Here is a 21,006-nt window from a genome sequence, read left to right as displayed (position 1 = left end):
TTGGGAGACAATGACTTCCTGGGCACTGAAAGGCTTAGGAGGTGGCAGCCTGGCCCATCGTCTTTCCATTAAGATGAGACTTGGGAAAAGGGGAACATTACGGTGGACTGGAGGCAAGACTAGATTGCAGCTCATTTGCAGACAGAGCAGTGTGTAGAGACTCACATTGTGACGTTTTGCTCTAGAACCTCGGCAGGAATAAACCAGAAGAGCCGAGATAACCCACAGACTCTCCGAAGGAAGTGGATTGCTCCTGTAGGACCCGGGAGACACCCCAAATAATGTGGGTGCCCAAACTGTGGAAGTAGAAAGGGGAATTGTCTGCCCCTGAACACACACCCTGACTGGGGAACCTGAAGGTCTAGATCATGGAAGAAGATTTTGACCTTCCCTAGAGCTGAAACAAATTAGAGAACCAAGTGAAATGCAGAAGTAGAGGAAGAAGCAGGAAAAGCCCTGTGGGCTTGCTGGGTCCCCTAGCAGGCCATTTCTTCCCTGCCTCTCAGAGGCCCTTGGGGAGGGCAGCCAGAGGCACTGGGAAAAGGCCACAGAAGGAAGGAAATTTCCAGTCGAACTTTTTTTTAACAATTTCAACCCATTGAGGAAATCTCCTGGCCAGAGCTTGGGGGAGTGTGCAAATCCAGTGTGCTGACTCCACAGGCCGGGGAAGAACAAAAGCCCTAACTGCTCTCATAGCTGGCAGGCAGGTAGTCTGGGACAAGTTCTCAGCCCTGCTCTCCCAATGTTTGGAAACAGACTCGGTTCTGTTGGAGGGGGCACAGTGGGAGTGAGACTTTTGGGTTGCGTGGGTGCTGGGTGAGGCCTGTGACTGCTGGCTTTCCCCCACTTCCCTGACAACCTTCATGACACAGTAGAGGCAGGCATAATCCTCCTAGGAACATAATTCCATTGACCTGGGAACCTCACCGCCATCCCCACAGCAGCCTCAGTAAGACCCACCCAAGGAGAGGCTGAGCTCAGACATGCCTAGCCCTGCCCTCACCTAATGGTCCCTCCCTACCAACCCTGGTAACTGAAGACAAAGGGCATATACTCTTGGGAGTTCTAGGGCCTTGCCCACCACTTCTTCCTCCCCATACTACTACAGCTCCTGGCAGGAGGCCCACTCGTACAAAAATAATACCTTAAGCAACCAAAGCCAAGGACCCTCACAGAGTCCATTTCACCCCCCTGCCACCTCCACCAGAGCAGGTGTTGCTATCCATGGCTATGAGACCTGCAGATGGTTCACATCACAGGACTCTGTGCAGACAACCCCCGGTACCAGCCTGGAGCCTGGTAGACCTACTGGGTGGCTAGATCCAGAGAGAGATAACAATCACTACAGCTTGGATCACAGGAAGCCACATCCCTAGGAAGAGACAGAGAGTACTACATCAAGGGAACATGCCGTGGGACAAAAGAATCTGAACAGCAGCCTTCAGCCCCAGATCTTCCCTCTGACATAGCCACCCAAATGAGAAGGAACCAGAAAAAACAATTCTGGTACTATGACAAAACATGGTTCTTTAACATCCCCCAAATACCATACTAGCTCACCAGCAATGGATTCAAACCAAGAAGAAATCCCTGATTTACCTGAAAAAGAATTCAGAAGATCAGTTACTAAGTTAATCAGGAAGGCATCAGAGAAAGGCAAAGCCCAATCTAAGAAAATTTTAAAAAAGATACAAGAAGCGAAGGGAAAAATATTCAATGAAAGAGATAGCATAAATTAAAAAAAATTAAAACTTCAGGAAAGAATGGATGCACTTATAGAAATGCAAAATGCTCTGGAAATTCTCAGCAACAGACTGGAGCAAGCAGAATAAAGAACTTCTGAGCTTGAAGACAGGGTCTCCAATTAACCCAATCTGACAAAGAAAAAAGAATAAGAAAAAATGAACAAAGCCTCCAAGAAGTTTGGGACTACGTTAAACAACCAAACCTAAGAATAACTGGTATTCCTGAGGAAGAAGGGAAATGTAAAAGTTTGGAAAACATATCTGGGGGAATAATAAAGGAAAACTTCCCTGGCCTTGCCAGAGACCTAGACATCCAAATACAAGAAGCACAAAGAACACCTGGGAAATTCATCACAAAAAGATCATTGCCTCAGCACATTGTCTTCAGGTTATCTAAAGTCAAGGTGAAGGAAAGAATATTGAGAGCTGAGGCAAAAGCACCAGGTAACCTACAAAGGAAAACCTATCAGATTAACAGCAGATTTCTCAGCAGAAATTCTACAAGCTAGAAGGGATTGGGACCCTATCTTCAGCCTCTTTAAACAGAACAATTATCAGGCACGAATTTTGGATCCAGCAAAACTAAGCTTCATAAATGAAAAAAAGATACAATCTTTTTCAGACAAATGCTCTGAGAATCTGCCACTACCAAGCCAGAACTATGAGAACTGCTAAAAGGAGCTCTAAATCTTGAAACAAATCCTGGAGACGCATCAAAACAGAACCTCTTTAAACCATAATTCTCACAATACCTATAAAACAAAAATACAATTAAAGAAAAAAAGGTATACAGGCAACAAATAGCATGATGAATGGAATAGTACCTCACATATCAATACTAACAATGAATGTAAACGGTCTAAATGCTCCACTTAAAAGATGCAGAATTGCAGAATGCATAAAAATTCACCAACCAACTATCTGTTGCTCTCAAGAGACTCACCTAACACGTAGGGACTCAAATAAATTTAAGGTAAAGGGGTGGAAAAAGACATCCCATGCAAATGGACACCAAAAGTAAGCAGGAGTAGCTATTCTTATATCAGACAAAACAAATATGAGGTGCAGAAGACAAGTGAGAAATTGTCAGAAGAAAAGAAGAAGAGGAAAAGATGAGAATATTCTATATGAAACTATTTCAAAAATTTTAGTAGTGGGGACTCCTCCTCAACTCATTCTATGAAGCCAGCATCACCCTGATACCAAACCTGCCAAAGATACAATGATAAAAGAAAACTATAGGTCAATATCCCCATTGAACACAGATGCAAAAATCCTAAAAGAAATATTAGGAAACTAAATTCCACAGTACATCAAAAAGTTAATTTATCATGATCAAGTAGGCTTCATTCCTGGGATGCAAGGTTGGTTCAATATATGCAAATCAATAAATTGATTCACCACATAAACAAAATTAAAAACAAAAACCATATGATCATCTCAGTAGATGCAGAAAAAGCTTTTGATAAAATCCAACATCCCTTCATGTTAAAGCCCCTCGATAAACTAGGCATCAAAAGAACATACCTCAAAATAATAAGAGCTATCTATGTTAAACACACAGCCAAGTGAAAGGGCAAAAACTGAAAGCATTCCCCTGGAACAAGACAAGGATGCCCTCTCTCAGCACCCCTTATTAAACATAGTACTGGAAGTGCTAGCCAGAGCAATCAGGGAATATAAAGATATAAAAGGCATCCAAATAGGAAAGGAAGAATTCAACTTATCTTTGTGGATGATATGACTCTATACCTAGAAAACTCAAAAGACTCTGCCAGAAAACTCCTGGAACTGATAAACAACTTCAGCAGAGTTTCAGGATACAAAATCAATGTACTCAAATCAGTAGCATTTCTATAAACTGATAACATTCTAGCTGAGGGCCAAATCAAGAACACAATCCCATTTACAAATGCTACAAAAAATAAAATAAAGTGTCTAGGAATACATCTAATCAAGGAAGTGAAAGCTCTCTAAAAGGAGAACTACAAAACACTGCTAAAAAAAATCATAGATGACACAGGCAAATGGAAAAACATCCCATACTCATGAAATTCAAGAATCTATATTGTCAAAAAGGCCATACTGCCCAAAGCAATCAACAGATCAATGCTATTCCTATCAAACCACCAATGTCATTTTTCATAGAATTGGAAAACATTATACTAAAATTCATATGGAACAAACAAAGAGCCAAGAATAGCCAAAGCAATCCTAAGTAAAAAGAGCAAAGCTGGAGGCATAACATTACCCAATTTCAACCTATACTACAAGGCTACAAATTAGCTTATATTATAATGTAGTATGTAACCTAAACTATACATACTATACTATACTATACTATACTATACTATACTATACTATACTATACTATACTATACCTATACTATACTATACTATACTATGCATTAGCCTATATAACCTATACTATAAGGTACTGGTACAAAAACAGACACATAGACCAATGGAACAGAATAGATAACTCAGAAATAAAGCCACACACCTGCAGTCATCTAATCTGAAACAAAGTCATCAAAAATAAACAGTGGGGAAAGAACTCCGTATTCAATAAATGGTGCTGGGATAGCTGTCTAGCCATATGCAGAAGAATGAAACTGGACCCTTTCCTTTCACCATACACAAACACTAACTCAAGGTGGATTAAAGATTTAAATATAAGACCTCAAACTATAAGAATCCTAGGGAAAAAAAAAAAAAAAACCTCAGAAACACCATTCTGGACATGGGCCTTGAGAAAAAAATTTATGATTAGGTTCTCAAAAAACAAAACAAAACAAAACAAAAACAAAAACAAATAAGAAAAAAACAATTGCAATGAAAGCAAAAATTGACAAGTGGGACCTAATTAAACTACAGAGCTTCTGCACAGCAAAAGAAACTATCAACAGAAGAAGCAGACAACCTAGAGAACTGGAGAAAATATTTGCAAACAATGCATCAAACAAAGTTCTAATATCCAGAATCTGTAAGAAACTTAAACAACTTAACAAGCATAAAACAAATAACCCCATTAAAAAGCGGGCAGAAGACATAAATAGACACTTCTCAAAAGAAGATATACAGTAGCCAACAAATGTATAAAAGAATGTTCATCATCACTAATCATTAGAGAATGCAAATTGAAACCACATTGAGATATTACCTCACACCAGTAAGAATGGCTATTATTAAAAAGCTAAAAAACAACAGATGTTGATGAGGCTGTGGAGAAAAGAGAATGCTTATACACTGTTGGTGGGAATGTAAATTAATTCAGCCACTTTGGAAAACAATTTGGAGATTTCTCAAAGACCTTAAAATAGAACTACCATTCAACCCAACACTCCCATTACTGGATGTATATCCAAAAGTAAACAAATAGTTCTACCGTAAAGGGACAGCACTCACATGTTCATCGCAATACTATTCACAATAGCAAAGATATGGAATCAACTTAGATGTCCAACAACGATGGCCTGGATAAAGAAAATATGATACATATACACCATGGAATACTATGGAGCCATGAAAAATGAAATCATGTCCTTTGCAGCAACATGGATTCAGCTGGAAAACATTATTCTAAATAAATTAATACAGGAACATAAAACTACATACTGCATGTCCTCACTTATAAGTGGGAGCTAGACACTGGGTACTCATGGACATAAAGACAGCAACAATAGACACTGGGGACTACTAGGGCATGGAGGGAGGGAGGGAGGCAAGAGTGGGAAAAGTTAACGGTTGGGTACTATTCTCCATACCTGGGTGATGGGATCATTCATACCCCAAACCTCAGCATCATGCAATATAACCCAGGTACCAAACTTGCATATGTACTCTCATAATCTAATGTAAAAGTAAAAAAAAAAAACTGTGTAATGCTAAATTAGATTTATGGATGCAAATTTATGACAAGTTGACTTAAGCTTTTAAAATATAATGCCCAAATCACATTGCTTATAAATATTAAGGTTTATTTTCAGAGCAATTAAGAATAAATTTTATGTATTTCATATAATCATTTTTATCTTTGCAAATTGGTGTAAAATAAAGCAGGCATCCCCATAGAAAAGTATAGAATATTAAAAACGAAATGTAATTTCATATTTTTTGCTGATGATTTAAAGAAAATATTGGGAAAAAGTTGTGTAAAATTTTTTTTTGTTGAGAGGGGAAAATCCACGGAAAATAAATAACTGATTATTTTAAAAATTAGGGTGGGCGCAGTGGCTCACGCCTGTAATCCCGGCTCTTTGGGAGGCCGAGGAGGGTGGATCACCTGAGGTCCGGAGTTTGAGACGAGCTTGATCAACATGGAGAAACCCCGTCTCTACTAAAAATACAAAATTAGCTGGACGTGGTGACGCATGCCTGTAATCCCAGCTACTTGGGAGGCTGAGGCAAGAGAATTGCTTGAACTCGGGTGGCAGAGGTTGCGGTGAGCCAAGATCGCGCCATTGCACTAAAGCCTGGGCAATAAGAGAGAAACTGTATCTCAAAAAAAGAAATAAATAAAATAAAATAAAATAAAAAAGAAGCGAGTTTTCAATGGAAAATTAAAGCAAATTTCATTATTAAGCAAATATTTAATTGGGAAATTCTAGTGAGCATATTTTATTATTTTCAGCTGGATACCAAGATCACATTAGCAGAAATGCCTTTACAGAGCTGGACTTCAATATTATGCTCTCAGCTTTCATCAGGTCACTGTAAGAAATTGACAAATGAAAAATCATGTATGTGTTCATTATAAAACTCTAGGTTATTTTCTCTCAGTGTAGCCTTTGTAAAGTTTCCAAGGGAGAAATTTCCTTAGCAATTTAGTAAGAGGAAATCTTTACTTCTCTTCAGGAATGGGAACACTTCCTTCATTTGAATATTAATAATAAGAACTATGCAACTTATATGTACATTCTCCATATACATTTGTGTATGAGTATGCATGTATGTGTGTGATGAATTCCAGGAAGCTGACAATCATAAATTCTCATAAAACTAAATGTGCACCTACTATATGTAGTAAGCAGAATGATGCCACCCTTCTCTGCTCCTATCCCCCAAATAAAGATGTCTATGCCCTAATCCCCAGAAGCTGTAAATATGTTACTTTACTTATAAAAGGGACTCTGCATAAGTGATCAAATTAAGAACCCTAGGATAGGAATATTAATCTGGGTTGTCCACGTGGATCCAAAGTGTTCACAAGAATACTTATAACAGAACGGGGAGGCAGGACAGTCAGAGTCAGAGGAGATGTGACAACAGAAGCAGAGGTGAGAGAAAGAAGCAAGAGAGGGAAGGATGTGAAGATGCTGTGCTGCTGGCTTTGAAGATGAAGGATGGTGCCATGATCAAGAAATGTGGACACATTTTAGAAGCTGGAAAAAACTAGGAAGCCGACTCTCCCCTACAACCTCCAGAAGGAACACAAACCTGCCCACACCTTGATTTTAGGCCACTGAGATTTCTAACTCCCACAACTGTAAGATAACAAAATTTGTATTATTTAAATCACTGTGGTTCTTTGTTACAGTGGCAACAGGAAGTGAATACACCATAGAGTCCAGCAATTGTATTCTTGGGTATTTACTTCAGAGAAATGAAACCTGCTCACACAAAAACTTGTACACAAATTTCACAGTGGCTTTACTCATAATACTTAACAACCAGAAGTAATCCAAATGTCCTTTAAGGGGTGAATGGTTAAACAAACCATGGTATAAATACACCATGTTTCTCAGTAATAGAAAGCAGCACACTATTTATACAATCAACTTAGATTATTCTTAATGGATTATACTGAGTTAATAAAAGCCAGTTTTAATAGATCATATAATATATGATTTCATTTCAATAACATTTTTGAAATGAAAAAAATTTAGAATGGAGAACAAAATAATGTTTTCTAGGTTTGGGAATGGTAAAGGAGGTGAAAGTTGGTGTGAAATTTTGGTGGTGAGAAATTTGGTAAATGATTAAAAGGAATTCTATTGGTAGAATGATTTAAAGTTTTAGTCCAACTGATGAAAGTTACATAATTCTCCCTCAGCTAATCAATTAGAATACAAAATAATCACACTGCCAGTTGTACTATTTCAATCTATTTTTATTTTCTTCTTCATGACAGGTCCACTAATACTTGCAAATAGGTGGAAAGCCTTCAGAAATAATAAATAAATGGAAGTATTATCTATTTACCTATTAATGGGGTAGCTGTCTTAGGAAGTCAATTTATAAAATGTATAGCCCAGCAAATTTATTAAGATACCATAAAATGGTCCCAACAAATTCTCAATAGAAGCTTGTGAAACAGAAAGTTAAAGATTGCCTTATTAAAATACCATTCATTATAGAGATTTATATCTAATGCCTACCTTTCTACGACACACATCTACAACAAGATTTGGCATGTATTAACAGGAAATTTTATATTAGTGCATGTGCTCATCAGTGATTCAAACAGTATATACAGATGAAAATAAAGTCCTATTTAACCTTGTATATTCATTCCTTTTATTATTTATAGCATTGTTGGACTATAATAAAATATTATTTCCATCAAAATGATTTTGAGCATAAACCATGCATCTAAATTTAAATATAGATTCGACAAAATCTCAAAATCTGAACAAATTGAAAATTATACACAGAGGTGATGCTTATACATATATAGTTGCATATCTGTATAGTTAAATCAAATTATCATTTAAAAAATAAGAATAACAAAAGAATCAGAAAGATGTATCATGTTGTTTAAGGACCAGTTGTGAGTCCACAAATCAACTATGGATCTTTTATGGTTCTAAAAATCTACCATTTGGTGGAATGAAAAGCATATAGTTTTAATTTGGATCTTTAAATGGCAACACACCGAACTAATACAGTCTTTCTTAATTATGTTATTGTGCTATGCATTTTGATTTGAGTTCATATTCATAAAAAGTAATATAACTTTAAAAAATTTTGTAATAATAACTATGTTTTAAATGTTGGCTGTGAGTAGAAAGTAATCTCAGTTTAATTAGCTGCTTACTTCTATATGCTAAATTAGAGGTACATTACTAAATACAAAACTTTAAATTATATAGTGAAAAAAATATCCAAACATAATTACCAGAATCTCTACAGGAAGATGTAATTACTATGGGCTAAATTCTTTCTTCAGTTTCATTTTTGCATCTCCCACAGAAGCCAACAGACACAAACTGCATACATATCTAAGGGCTGACTATTAATTTACTGTGAATTCTTCTGGGCAATGTCCAAAAACTAATGGAAAATATATCATGAAAGCTTAAAATAAACATTTTCAACTATGTATAGTGAAATCAACTTAACACACCATTCATTCCTTTTAGAAGCAGGCATCCAGAATGTTCAATGCTAACCTTGATTTTCCAACCAACTCACTCTCTGCCCTTGAAGAACTTACTTAATTAGTCTACATCTAACTTTATGCATCTGTAAAGTGGATATAATAAATATTCATTTACCTCATGGGAATGTTTGGAGAATGCATGTTTGTAAAATTGCAAAAAGATTTATGGATGAAAGTTATGGATCAGAGTGCAGAATGGAAAGCATGTCAGATGCTCTGCTCTGCTCTGTGTCTAGCACATTGTTGGCAAGCGGTAAGCATTACTTGATAATAACTGCATTTAGAATAACCACCAGAAGCAGAAACCTGAATATATATGGTCATGCACAACATGAAAAGATAACTATATTCTGGTGGAGCTACATGATCTGACTTTTAATCCTACCACAGTGGATTAATGAATCAGCAAAGAAATAGGCTTTTCCAAAAAAGAAACAACACACTAAAAGGTATAACAACTTCGGCAATAAATACATGTAGCTGGAAAGCATATGTTTAGCATATTGGTCAGAACCATGAGTTTTGATGTTAGGCAGACTTAGTTTCAATCACAGCTTTACTTTATATGTGACCTCAGATAAATTGCTTTACTACATTTACCTAATCAGTTTTTTTAAAAAATGGAATTGAAAATAGACTCATACGTTTTTGTGAGGATTAATAAAATAATGTATACAGATGGTCTCCAATTTATGATGGTTCAACTTATGATTTTTTTTTTTACTTTACCATGTGAAGCATGTGTGAAAGCATCATGCATTCAGTACACACCATACTTTGAGTACCCATATAACCATGCTGCTTTTCACTTTTGGTACAGTATTCAATAAATTATATAAGACATCCAATATTTTATTATAAAATAGGCTTTGTGTTAGATGATTTTGTCCAACTGTAGGCTAATATAAGGGTTCTGAGCACATTTGTAGTTAGGCTAGATTAAGCTATGATGTTTGGTAGCTTAGGTATATTGAATGCATTTTCTTTTTTCTTCCTTTTTTTGTAGAGATGGGGTTTCCATCTCTACATGTTGCTTAGGCTGGAGTGCAGTGGTTATTCATGTGATGATAATGCACTACAGCCTCGAACTCCTGGGTTCAAGCAATGCTTCCATCTCAGCCTCTCAAATAGCCGGGACTACGTGAGCATGCCAGTGCACCCAGCTAAATAAATTTTTAACTTATAATATTTTCAACTTATGATGGTATGATGGGTTTGTCAGGATGAGTGTAACCATATCATAAGTCAAGTAACATCTGTATAGAGCACTTATCATAATGCTGACATATAATAAGTAGTATTTATCAATTACTCAAATTATTAAATACCTACTATATGCCAAATATTGTAATGTATGTTAGTGACTGTTTATGTCTTCTCAAAATTCGTATGTTGAAGACGTAAACCTCAATATGGTAGTGTTTGGAAGGGGTACTTCTAGGAAGTAATTAAATAATGAGGGTGTGGTTCTCATAACAGAATTAGCACTCTTATAAGGAGACTCAAGATAGATGATTTCTCAGCCACAAGGCAGCTATCTGCAAACCAGAAAGAAGGGCCTCATCAGGAACCAAATTTGCTGATACCTTATCTTAGACTTCCTAGCCTCCAGAACCATGAGAATTAAATGTTTGTTGTTTAAGCCATCCAGTCTATGTATTTCTTATAGCAGACCTAACCATCTAAGACAGTAATATATTGATGAAGAAGCTTTCAAGAAGCTTACATTCTAGAAGAGAGATAGAAAAAAAAAATAAGGAAATAAGCATAATAATATCAAGCAGACAAAATAGAGTAATGTTATAGATCATTAGTTATCCATTATAGCTGCAAATTAAATCATCTGGAAGCTTTTTAAAAACTGTGATGACTCAGTTCCACCCGAGAATAATTAAATCACAATCTCAGGTTTGTGTCCCATGCACACTGGATATAGGATGCATCATTATTCACAATGGTAAAAAGAGAGAGGAGCAATCTGAAGAGAAAGGAATTGTGTTGAGATTGATGTCCACATAAAAATGACTACATTTACATCAAAATATCAAAAGAAAGTTGACTATTTGGATTAACATTTTAGGATAGACAGAGAGGCTGGGACATAGATTTTGGAAGCAACAGTACATAACTGGCAGTTGAAGTCACATATGAAGATGCAAATACCTAAGCAGTATATTTACAGTGAGGAGACTTAGGGTTGTGGACAGAAGACACTTAAAGTGGCTCCAATGATGCCCACTTCCAGTTGTTCATGCCGGTGTGTGAGCCCCATTCCTTGGGCATGGGAAGGATCTGTGACTTGCTTCTAAATAATAGAATGGATATGATTTGGGTATATGATTAGATGGTTACATAAGATTGTAGCACCTATCGTCTGTGGTCTCCCTGTCTTACTTTGGGTAAGCAAAGTAAGTCATACTTTGGGAAAGCAAAGAGTCATACTAGGGAACCCTATGTAGTAAGAATTGCAAGGGGCCTCTGGGAGCTGAGGGTGGCCTCCAGTGAACAGCCAGCAAGTAATTGAAGACCTAACGGCCCTACAACCACAAAGAATTGAATTCTGCCAACAACATGAATGAGCTTATAATAATCATAATATCTTATAATAACCCTTTTCCAGTTGAGCTTCGGATAAGACCACAGTTTTGAAGATTACCTTGATCTCAGTCTTGTGATACACTAAGCAGAAGACCTAGCTAAGCCATATTTTAATTCCTAACCCAAAACAAACTGTGAGATAATAAATGTATATTGCTTAATCCACTAAAATTGTTGTAATATCATTACTTGGCAATAGGCTTTCTAGATGTGACAAGAAATCAAGATGAGAGTTACATTACAAAGATATCTATAATTTAATTTTAAATATTTTTTGTATGAGCAGTGTGATATCATGCATGAGGTTATGCAAAATAATAGAATTCCCACTCGATGTATCTGCTTTTAGTAAACCTTAAATTCAAAGTGTGATTGAAACATTTAAATGACAAAGAACAGTAAGATCCCCTAGTTAATGGCACAATGGCTCAAGTTTTGTGCTAGTGTAGTTAAAATTATCTACAAGTTTGGCAGAATTTTATCATAGATTGCTTTTGTAATAATTTACTTTCACAGCTATAGCAATTTACCAAAGTAAAACTAAAAGTTGTACTTAAGCAGGCTGACTTAGGTCAGTTCAAATAAGAAAAGCTTTAAGATGAGAACATTCAATACTCTGGAGTGCAATAAAAGTAACAAGTAAGGCAAGAACTAACAAGCATTCTTTAGATTTGTCAATTAACTTCAATGGTCACTCCAGAACTGTCAATGGTAGTAACATCCAAAGCCAGATTGCAGTAAGTAGGTGGTAAATAAGTGATAACAATCAGTATAAACTATTTGTTTCAGAATCTTCGCTGAAAAAAGGAGAGAGATGGGGAAGTAGTTAGACTGGAACATACAGTTTTGTTGTGGATTGAATTGTGTTTCCTAAAAAGATATGTTGAAGTCCTAAGTCCTAATCATAGCTATGGACGTGACTTTATTTGGAAACAGGGTTTGCAGATGTAATTAATTTAAAATGAGGTCATACTTGATGAGAGTGGGACCTAGTTCAATATGACTGAGATCCTTAGAAGAGGAAAATGTAAACACAGGGAGGAGAATGCCATGTGAAGACATAGACATACTGACATAGAGAGAAGACAGCCTTGTGAAGACTGAAGCAGAAATTGGAATCATGGTGCTGCAAGCCAAGGGATACGTGGAAGTACCAGAAGTGGATACGTGGAAGTACCAGAAGCTGCAAAACACAAAGAAGGATTTCTCTTTAAAGGCTTCAGAGACAGCATGGCCTGATGATACCAATAGAACTTTCAGGATTCTAGCTTCCAAAAATGCAAGTCAATAAATTTCTCTTGTTTTAAGCCACCTAGTTTGTGGGTAATTTGTTATGTCATCTCTAGAAAATTAATACAAATTGATAAGAAAATAATCTTAGGATATGAGTGGCTTAAGTCTGCTCAAACTAAGGAGAAGAACCCAAAGAAATAGAGAAGATGAGGAGGCAATAAAAAAAAAAGAGACCTGAAGGGAAGAACATCTTGGAAGAGACAAAAGAACAGGATCAAGAGACTTCAACCTGTGGATCATTTCCTCACAATACTACCTGACTGCGTGTTAAAAAGGCAATTCCTGGGCCCCAACACCTGCCTAAAAATTAGTCTTTGAAAGGGTAAGCTTGGATTCTATCAGCTCCTTGCGATCTGATCACACTAAAGTTTAAGAAACACTGAATTAGAGGATAGGTAGTTAAATCATGAAAATATAGAATTAGAAATTTAAAAATTCTGCTGCCACTTCCTAGTCTCAGACTCAACCCCAGGTCTGTTTTTGACTAATATTCTTGTTGTTCCCATAAATGCCCAATTCATCACAAATCTACATATTTATAGGTGGTAATAGCCCCTTTCATTTTTCACAGATAAACAGAAGACCTGTTCTCAACTTTAGGGTATTTTAGAAAGACCCAGGGAATGTATTGTACTTACAGATTTGTGGGCTCTACTGTCAGAAATTCTGATTCAGTGCATCTGGGCCCAAGAATCTAGACCTGCAGGAAGCACTCCATCTGATTCTGAGAGAATGGCAACCTAGAACTGCTTTCCAGAAGCACTCCCTGACAAATATTCACTGCAAGCTCAAAGCAATTGCAGAGTCTGATAAGCAGAGTCTGATAAAGCAGCCAGAGTGCTGATGAAACTTTGGCAGCATTAAGAGCTGTCAGCGTTAAGAACTATAATATCCAGATCAAGGAAGATAAGTGTCTATCCTCTGCAATGGCAAAATTGAGCACAAAATACTGTGTTTGGTTATGTACATCGTATTTTAAGAAGAACATGGCTTTACTATATGGTACATTTTGCCCCAGTGAGTAGAATTCATACCATTGAGGCCTAAGGGGATACAGAGGTCAGGCCTTTGATAGGGTGACATTCGTATATCTTGTAGCTGAAACAGTCTCCCAGAAACTTGGGAGATATTATGCTCTACTCTCCACTTGAAAGCACTCTTTGAACTATATTGTTGAGAGTTGCTTAATTTAAACAAATAAATAATTAAAGCATTTAACATGCAATAGGCATTATGTGGCAAATAAGGACCCACTTCATAATGTCACACAATCTCTTAAAGTCCATTTACATTTCAAGGTCGCATCTGGTTGTAAAAATCTCATGGACCAGACATCTTCTGGGTACCCTAGGTCACTAAGAGCCCAGAAGAAACAATAACTAAGTGCTAGAACCATATAATTTCTGATATTAATGCTCTATATATTTCCGGATCGTCCCTGCTCCCATCTCTCTTCCTCTCTTCCTTTCTTTCTTTCTCTCTCTCTAATTCTATCTCCCTGTTTTCTGTCAAATATAAGACTTGCTTTTTTTTAGTGGTTTTCAACACTGCTAAAGATTAGAGTCACTCAGGGAGCTTTTGCAGTACTATCTGAAGCTCTAACCCAAAGATCAAAAATAAATTTCAGAATGGGAAACATCTCCATTTTTAGTCTTATGCATCTGACATTTCTAGGCATTCTTCCTTCCACCTTTCAAAAGGAAGGTCACTCATCTTACTGTAGACATTATTTCTGCATGTCAGTCTTTTCTTTACCCTTACAGTAGAAATCCCTTCAGGCATTCTCCCATTTAAAATGAAACCATTATTCTCAGAAGCTATCTCAGATAGCTTACTTTACCTATTTTTTCTAATGCTCTGGGTGGAGATGAACAGAATGTATTTTAAGTGAGGATAAGCAGATCTTTTTCATTTTCCTTCAAAACGTATACCCCAGATGTGTTTCATTAACTCAGATAAAGGGCATAGAAATGGTAAACAATGATACACAAATATCTACACTGATTATATTTCCCAGCAACTCAAGCTGTTCCATAATAGCAAGTCTTAGGTTTATTTTTGCTGTAATGTTTAAGAGGAGACTGAAAGGCCCAAACACGCAGGCTCCATGATTCTTCTCTGTTACAAGGTGTAAAATCTCTCCTGAAGCCAAAGGGAAATGTCTCTTGGCTGTAAAGGTGGTTCAATATCCTCAGAATTTCAGGATCTGCCTCAAAATATTCAACATAAAATTTATCAAAGCCTTAGCAAACTGTATGAAACTTTTATGTTCCCATGTCATGGATTGCTAAATGGAATTCTTGGTGAATGTATAGAATATATATTCTGTAGCTTATCCCAGTGTTCAATACTTCATTTTCCAACTTGGAGATGCTGTGTCTAGCCAAGTCTGTTGATTAGTTTACTTTCAAAAAGGGAAAGTAAAATAAAAACAATGACATAAAATAAAAAACCCCACAAAACAGACCACTTATGTGTGCCAAATCTTGCTGGAGAATCTCATTGTTTACTTATTGTAATGGCTTCTAATTTTCCATGTATTATCAAAGCTTAAAATAAGTAGTGAAAATATCAGTAACAAATACAAATATGTGAGAGTTTCAATAATGAAAATGAAACAAATCAGCCATCAAGTCTATTATGTCATTATAAGTATTTATAGTTTTCATTTCTAAAAGGCAAAAATTAAATGTAAATATTAGTGGAACCCCTCCCATAACACAGACACATAAATTTTAGAAACATCACTTTGTTATTTTATCTTATCAGATAAAAACATGATGATTAGCACCAGCAATAATTGGCTTGATTTAATGGAATCAAAATTTCCTGCTGACATTTTACAAAGATATGACTATTGAGCAAGTTAAATTGGTAGGATAAGAACAAAAAAATCAACATTATGTTATATGAACCAAAAAAAATGTCAAGACCAGGATATTTAAGCTTGTTCTTTTCTTTCTTTTTTTTTTTTTTTTTTTTTTTTTTTTTGAGACAAGATATCACTCTGTCTCCCAGGCTAGAGTGTAGTGCTGCAATCATGGTTAACTGCAGTCTTGACCTTCCTGGCTCAAGGGATCCTCCTGCCTCAGTCTCCCAAGTAACTGGGACTACAACATATACCACTATACCTGAATAATTTTTAATTTTTTAATTTTCATTTTTAGTTTTTGTAGAGATGGTGTCTCATTATGTTACCCAGGCTGGTCTCAAAATCCTAGGCCCAAGTGATTCTCCTCCTTCAGCCTCCCAAAGTGTTGAGATTACAGGCATGAGCCACCATGCCTGGTAGTTTATCATTCTTTACTCCAACTTACAATATTGCGGATTTTAGTTCTGACTTTATGCAGCATATCCTCTTTCTCATAATTTCTAATAAAATATTGGCTAGATCTGTGAAAATTATAAAACCTGAATATTTCAAACATTAGGGGATATTAAACCTTATAGGGTTTATGTCAATAAATTTTACTCTATTTAATAATATGATTTTGTTACAGCAGTACTTATTAAGCTTTTCCTCTGGGTACAATGAACAGTAGAGGTGAATGAGTTTGCATCCTCAGAGATCTATGGCACAAGTCCAAAGCAAGCTGCTATGACCTGTGTACAACACATTTTTAAGTCTAATGCTAAAGATAAAAACAAAAATCATGGTAATTTTATACAAGAAAAAACACAAGTTGAATTAAAAAGTAATAAAAATTCATTTTTTTTCCTCCTAAATTATCTAGCAATTTAACAGTCCTGAATATGAATGGGTGCCTTGGTACAAGTAGCATATATTTAAGAAACTGGGCAACATTTGAAAATCTCAAAACACTGAGGGAAGTTATATTCCAGAAAGATTTGTTTTGAACCAGAGAGAAAGGATGCTTAGAATTAAGATCTACAGGAGAAGGCAAGTCTAGAACAGGACAAAAGAGTCACTAGGCAAATGTCATAAGCAATATAATGGTTTAGTTTTATTTTTTGGTGAATTGTAAAATAGTCACATGAAACTACAAGACCCAGTCAAAATGCCATGGAAGGGCTATGGGTAAAGAGTAAATAAAAAAGGGAAGACACTGTTCTGAATACTAGATACGAAATGAAACACAAACCACAAATTCTACTTGACTTGAAAAACAGATGAACTGTAAAGACCATATCCTGACAGACAAACTAAGCTTAAATTCTTTTAGCACCAGTTTGTTCACATGTGTATTTTTCTAGATAAAATCACAAGCTGATTTAGCAGTTCAATTCATTGATTGCATGGGCTCATGGACAGTTCTGGCAACTGACCTAATTTACAAATTCTGATCAATCCCTCCCTAGACTTCACTTATGACCATCTGCCTTGTACAGTACGTGTCTAACCCGAGGTCCATAAACCCTACATGACTCTTCCCTCATTCTCTCTCTCTTAAGCAGGTGCTCTCCCTTATTTAGCAAGTTGACTAAATCTACCTTTGCATGATACACAGGGTCTCCGAAGGCGTTGTTATGGGGAGTTTAGCAAATATTCTGTAATAATATCGAAATTGTAAATATAATCATGCCAATGATTTATGGTTTTTCCCTTGAAACTTAAATTTAACTACCTTCTCATGTCAAAAAGTTGCTAGTGTTTCTACTGCCATTTTTTTACCCAAGACCAACTCAAACTTGATGATTGACACAGTTCCTCAGATTTTATTCTGAGGGTTATTGCATGTGGTTTGGTGTCTAACTAGCCTCTACTCTCTAATTCTGATGATCTCAGTATTTTCCTCTCCAATTCACTTGGCTTGGCCAGCTTCTTTGATTTAGAGATCTCTCTAACTGATCCAGGCATATCAAATATTTAAATACAGGTTCATATATACACTCTATTTTTTCTTTAGCAATTTTTGTTTCAGAAATAATCAGGTGTTTTAAATTCATTTATAAAATTGAGGACATTCAAACTTTCAGACTACCTCATATGAATCTTCACTTCTACTCAAATAGAAATATTCACGAATATTAGTGTGTATTAAAAACATCAAGGTTAAAACTAGTCAAGCTAGTTTTGAATATGAAACATCAGTGAAACAGTTTTCTTCCAGTATAAGTTAAGAGAAAAAGACAGAAAGCAGGACTCCAAAAAGTTACCAAAAATTAATTCAAAATTTCTCCTTGGAACAGTGGTGCACATACTTTGATTTACCAGATTAAGATATACTTAACATGCCGAAAATCAAACTGATGAAGTTTTATGACTTTCTTTACATGTTTAATCAATTCATTTTATATGTTCAGCTAAACTCCTAGTAAACTGTTTTTCATTTATGGGTTCTCAGAATGCAAAAATAATATTCACCCAAAATGTACTAACTGATTTACTTAATGTTATTAACTAGCATTATGTCTAATCACAAAAGTTACTGAATAAAAAACAAATCCTACACTGAATGTATTAGTTAACTGGTCTAATATTTTTGCTGTCAAAAATATGGCTCCTAACAGTATTTTGTCACTTATTAATTGAACAAGTCATTCTGTTTCTTTTCTTTTTTTCTTCAATTAACACATTCCTAAAATACAAGTGGGCGGTCATTAGTTGCAGGGAGAAAATTAGCCAGCGAATTAAAATTTTATCAGTTAAATAGAAATGAATGGCAGCAAAGAGACATGCCATTCAGATGACGTATAATAAAAAGAAAATGTATGTATTACTAATACTGAGAGTACACAGGAATCTCTTTCATTGCCAAAATAAAAAAATTAGAAGCACCTATTGTATGGCAGATAACAGAGCTGAAGACAATGAACAAATATTTAAGGGAGGCATTATTATATTGGTGTTGAAGACAGACTTAATTTGGAATTTCACTTTTGCCAATATTAACTGTGTGATTTTAAGAAAGTAACATTAGCCCTTTACAGTTTTGTTTTCTTATCTTAAAAAGTTAGCCAAATATTTTATTAAATATTTAAGAGTAACCGCTAAAGAAGAAAAAAAAAATCTGATGGCTTTCTAAACAGTAAAGGTAAAAATAAGGAATAAAAGCCTATCACTTCAACAGAGGTAAGAAAGAAGAATAAAAAGAGGCAGAGAAAAGAGGCAAGAAACAACACAAAATAAGATGTAGATCTGTCCAAATATAATTAATTACAATTACAAAAAATACAAACAAAAACTCACTTATTAACAGATAATTTATGAAATTATATTTAAAATAATTTTTTGGTGTTATATTACTCACCAGATATACACCTAAAATAAAACGACAGAGAGAGGTTGAAAGCTACCTCCTCCATTCCCTCCCCAGTTCCTTTCCAATCCAAAACCTGTCAGGCAATTATTCTGCCTTCGCCTTTCCTGCTGGCCAGAGCCTTCAGCTTCACTTAGCCAAGGGAGATGGAAGTTGGGGGCAGTGTCTGGAAATAAGTCAGACAGTGGAATTTAAGACAAAACACATCAATAGGGATATTTTGGTAAACGACATAATGAAATAAAGAATAATTCACTAAGATACTAAGTCTGACTGTGTACAGACTAAGATACTAAGTCTGACTGTAGAAAGAGTGTCAATGTTTATCTTTAAAAGAGATGCAATGGATATAATAGTTTTATTTTACTTTTGCATTCTAGTGCACATTTCCACACTCTTTAATAACTAGTGCTTAGTATTTCTTTCAATTTTTCCCCCTCTTAGTGCTAATTTGACACCACTCCATTAAAAGAGATCCTGATTAGCTTAAGTCAATAAGTTAGTTATTGATCCAGGCATGGGGGGCTAACTCAACTAAGAGACACTTGTTTAGACTCTCCCAAACAAACTCCCCTGCATTTCCCATGCTTTCAAGGTGTGAAGTTGTCTTCTTTGTAATTATAGCCATCTTGCAACCAAGAGGGGAGACACGAAAGCTACTGGCAGCCATTACCAGGATCCTGCTTGGCTAACGTACAGCCAAGAGACAGATCCTTGCCTACTTGCAACTAGAATCAAGTTATACCATTTGTTATTTAAGCCAATCCAAGTTCTCTATTACTTGAAAATGAAGTAATTATGACTCTGTTTTTCTTTAAGGTTATTGTGAGGATAAAGTTAGATTATATAAGTTGTTAACACAGTACTCGGTACATTGCACTTTCTCAACAACGCACCTTTAAGGACAAATGGTGTGTGAACAGCTTAGACAACAAAAATTGTTTCAGTGGTTGCTACCAACAGTCATTCTTGTCCAGTATGCATTTCATCTTACTTCAATTCAGCAAGTACTTATTCATTTGAGCATTAATCCAACCAATAATGGAATTTATTATGAGGAAGGCATTGTGCCCAGGACTGTCACTTATACTGAGAAGTATCATAATGTTTACTTCAATACTGTTGCTGATACAAAAAGAGAGAAACAGTACTTTAGTGAATTGAATTACTTGTAATCTCTCAAGGAGACAAGCATTTAGAGAATCGTATAAACAGTGTGTGATTATGTGCCAAACTGCATGGCATACAGGCAAATGAGTATAATAGATATTCCACTAAAGGAAAAGAATAGTGCACAGAAAGATGAAATATTCTCACTAGAAAAATGCCTGAGTGTTAAATTTTATTAGGTAACATATTACAGACTAAGTGTGTGAGAAAAGGATGTCTAATAGCCCAAATGCATAATTTCTACTCCCTTCCCTTTGGTGCTTTTTGTTTTGTTTTTTGATATTTGTAAGTTATTTTTTTCCTTAATTTGGATTGTTAGTCTTGCTTGAAAACACCAAAATCTTGCTTTATGAGGTTCTTTAAGGCTCTATATTATTAATAAACACTGTTAAAACAGGACTCTCAGGTATTTCTAGTAATACAAACATCTGGAGAGAGTCCACGAAAGATTTAGGAAGAGGATCACAGATTTTCAGTGACTGAAGATGCCCTGGAGGTCACATATCCAGTTCTCTACCCAAATTATTTACAGTAAATTTGACAAAATAACAGAGTTGCTGATTTCAAAAATGTTTAGTACATAAAGAGAAAAAAA

General features: G+C 35.7%; 1 protein-coding gene across 16 annotated transcripts in view; it reads right to left on the bottom strand.

Moving 5' to 3' along the window:
• The window catches only part of CCSER1 (coiled-coil serine rich protein 1), a 1,477,902-nt gene that overhangs the window by 600,950 nt on the left and 855,946 nt on the right, over nucleotides 1–21,006 (bottom strand). Inside the window, exon 13 of one of the 16 annotated variants that reach the window (XR_001741218.2) lies at nucleotides 19,234–19,407. The exons of 14 other annotated variants lie outside the window; for them this stretch is intronic. The gene's annotated coding sequence lies outside the window, so the exon portion shown is untranslated. Of the gene's footprint in view, nucleotides 1–19,233; nucleotides 19,408–21,006 lie in introns of those variants that run through there. One more of the 16 variants, XM_011531950.3, reaches the window with a different exon arrangement.

The sequence above is a fragment of the Homo sapiens genome, chromosome 4 (assembly GCF_000001405.40).
Source record: "Homo sapiens chromosome 4, GRCh38.p14 Primary Assembly".
Taxonomy (NCBI): domain Eukaryota; kingdom Metazoa; phylum Chordata; class Mammalia; order Primates; family Hominidae; genus Homo; species Homo sapiens.
This window is presented reverse-complemented; position numbering and strand designations above follow the sequence as displayed.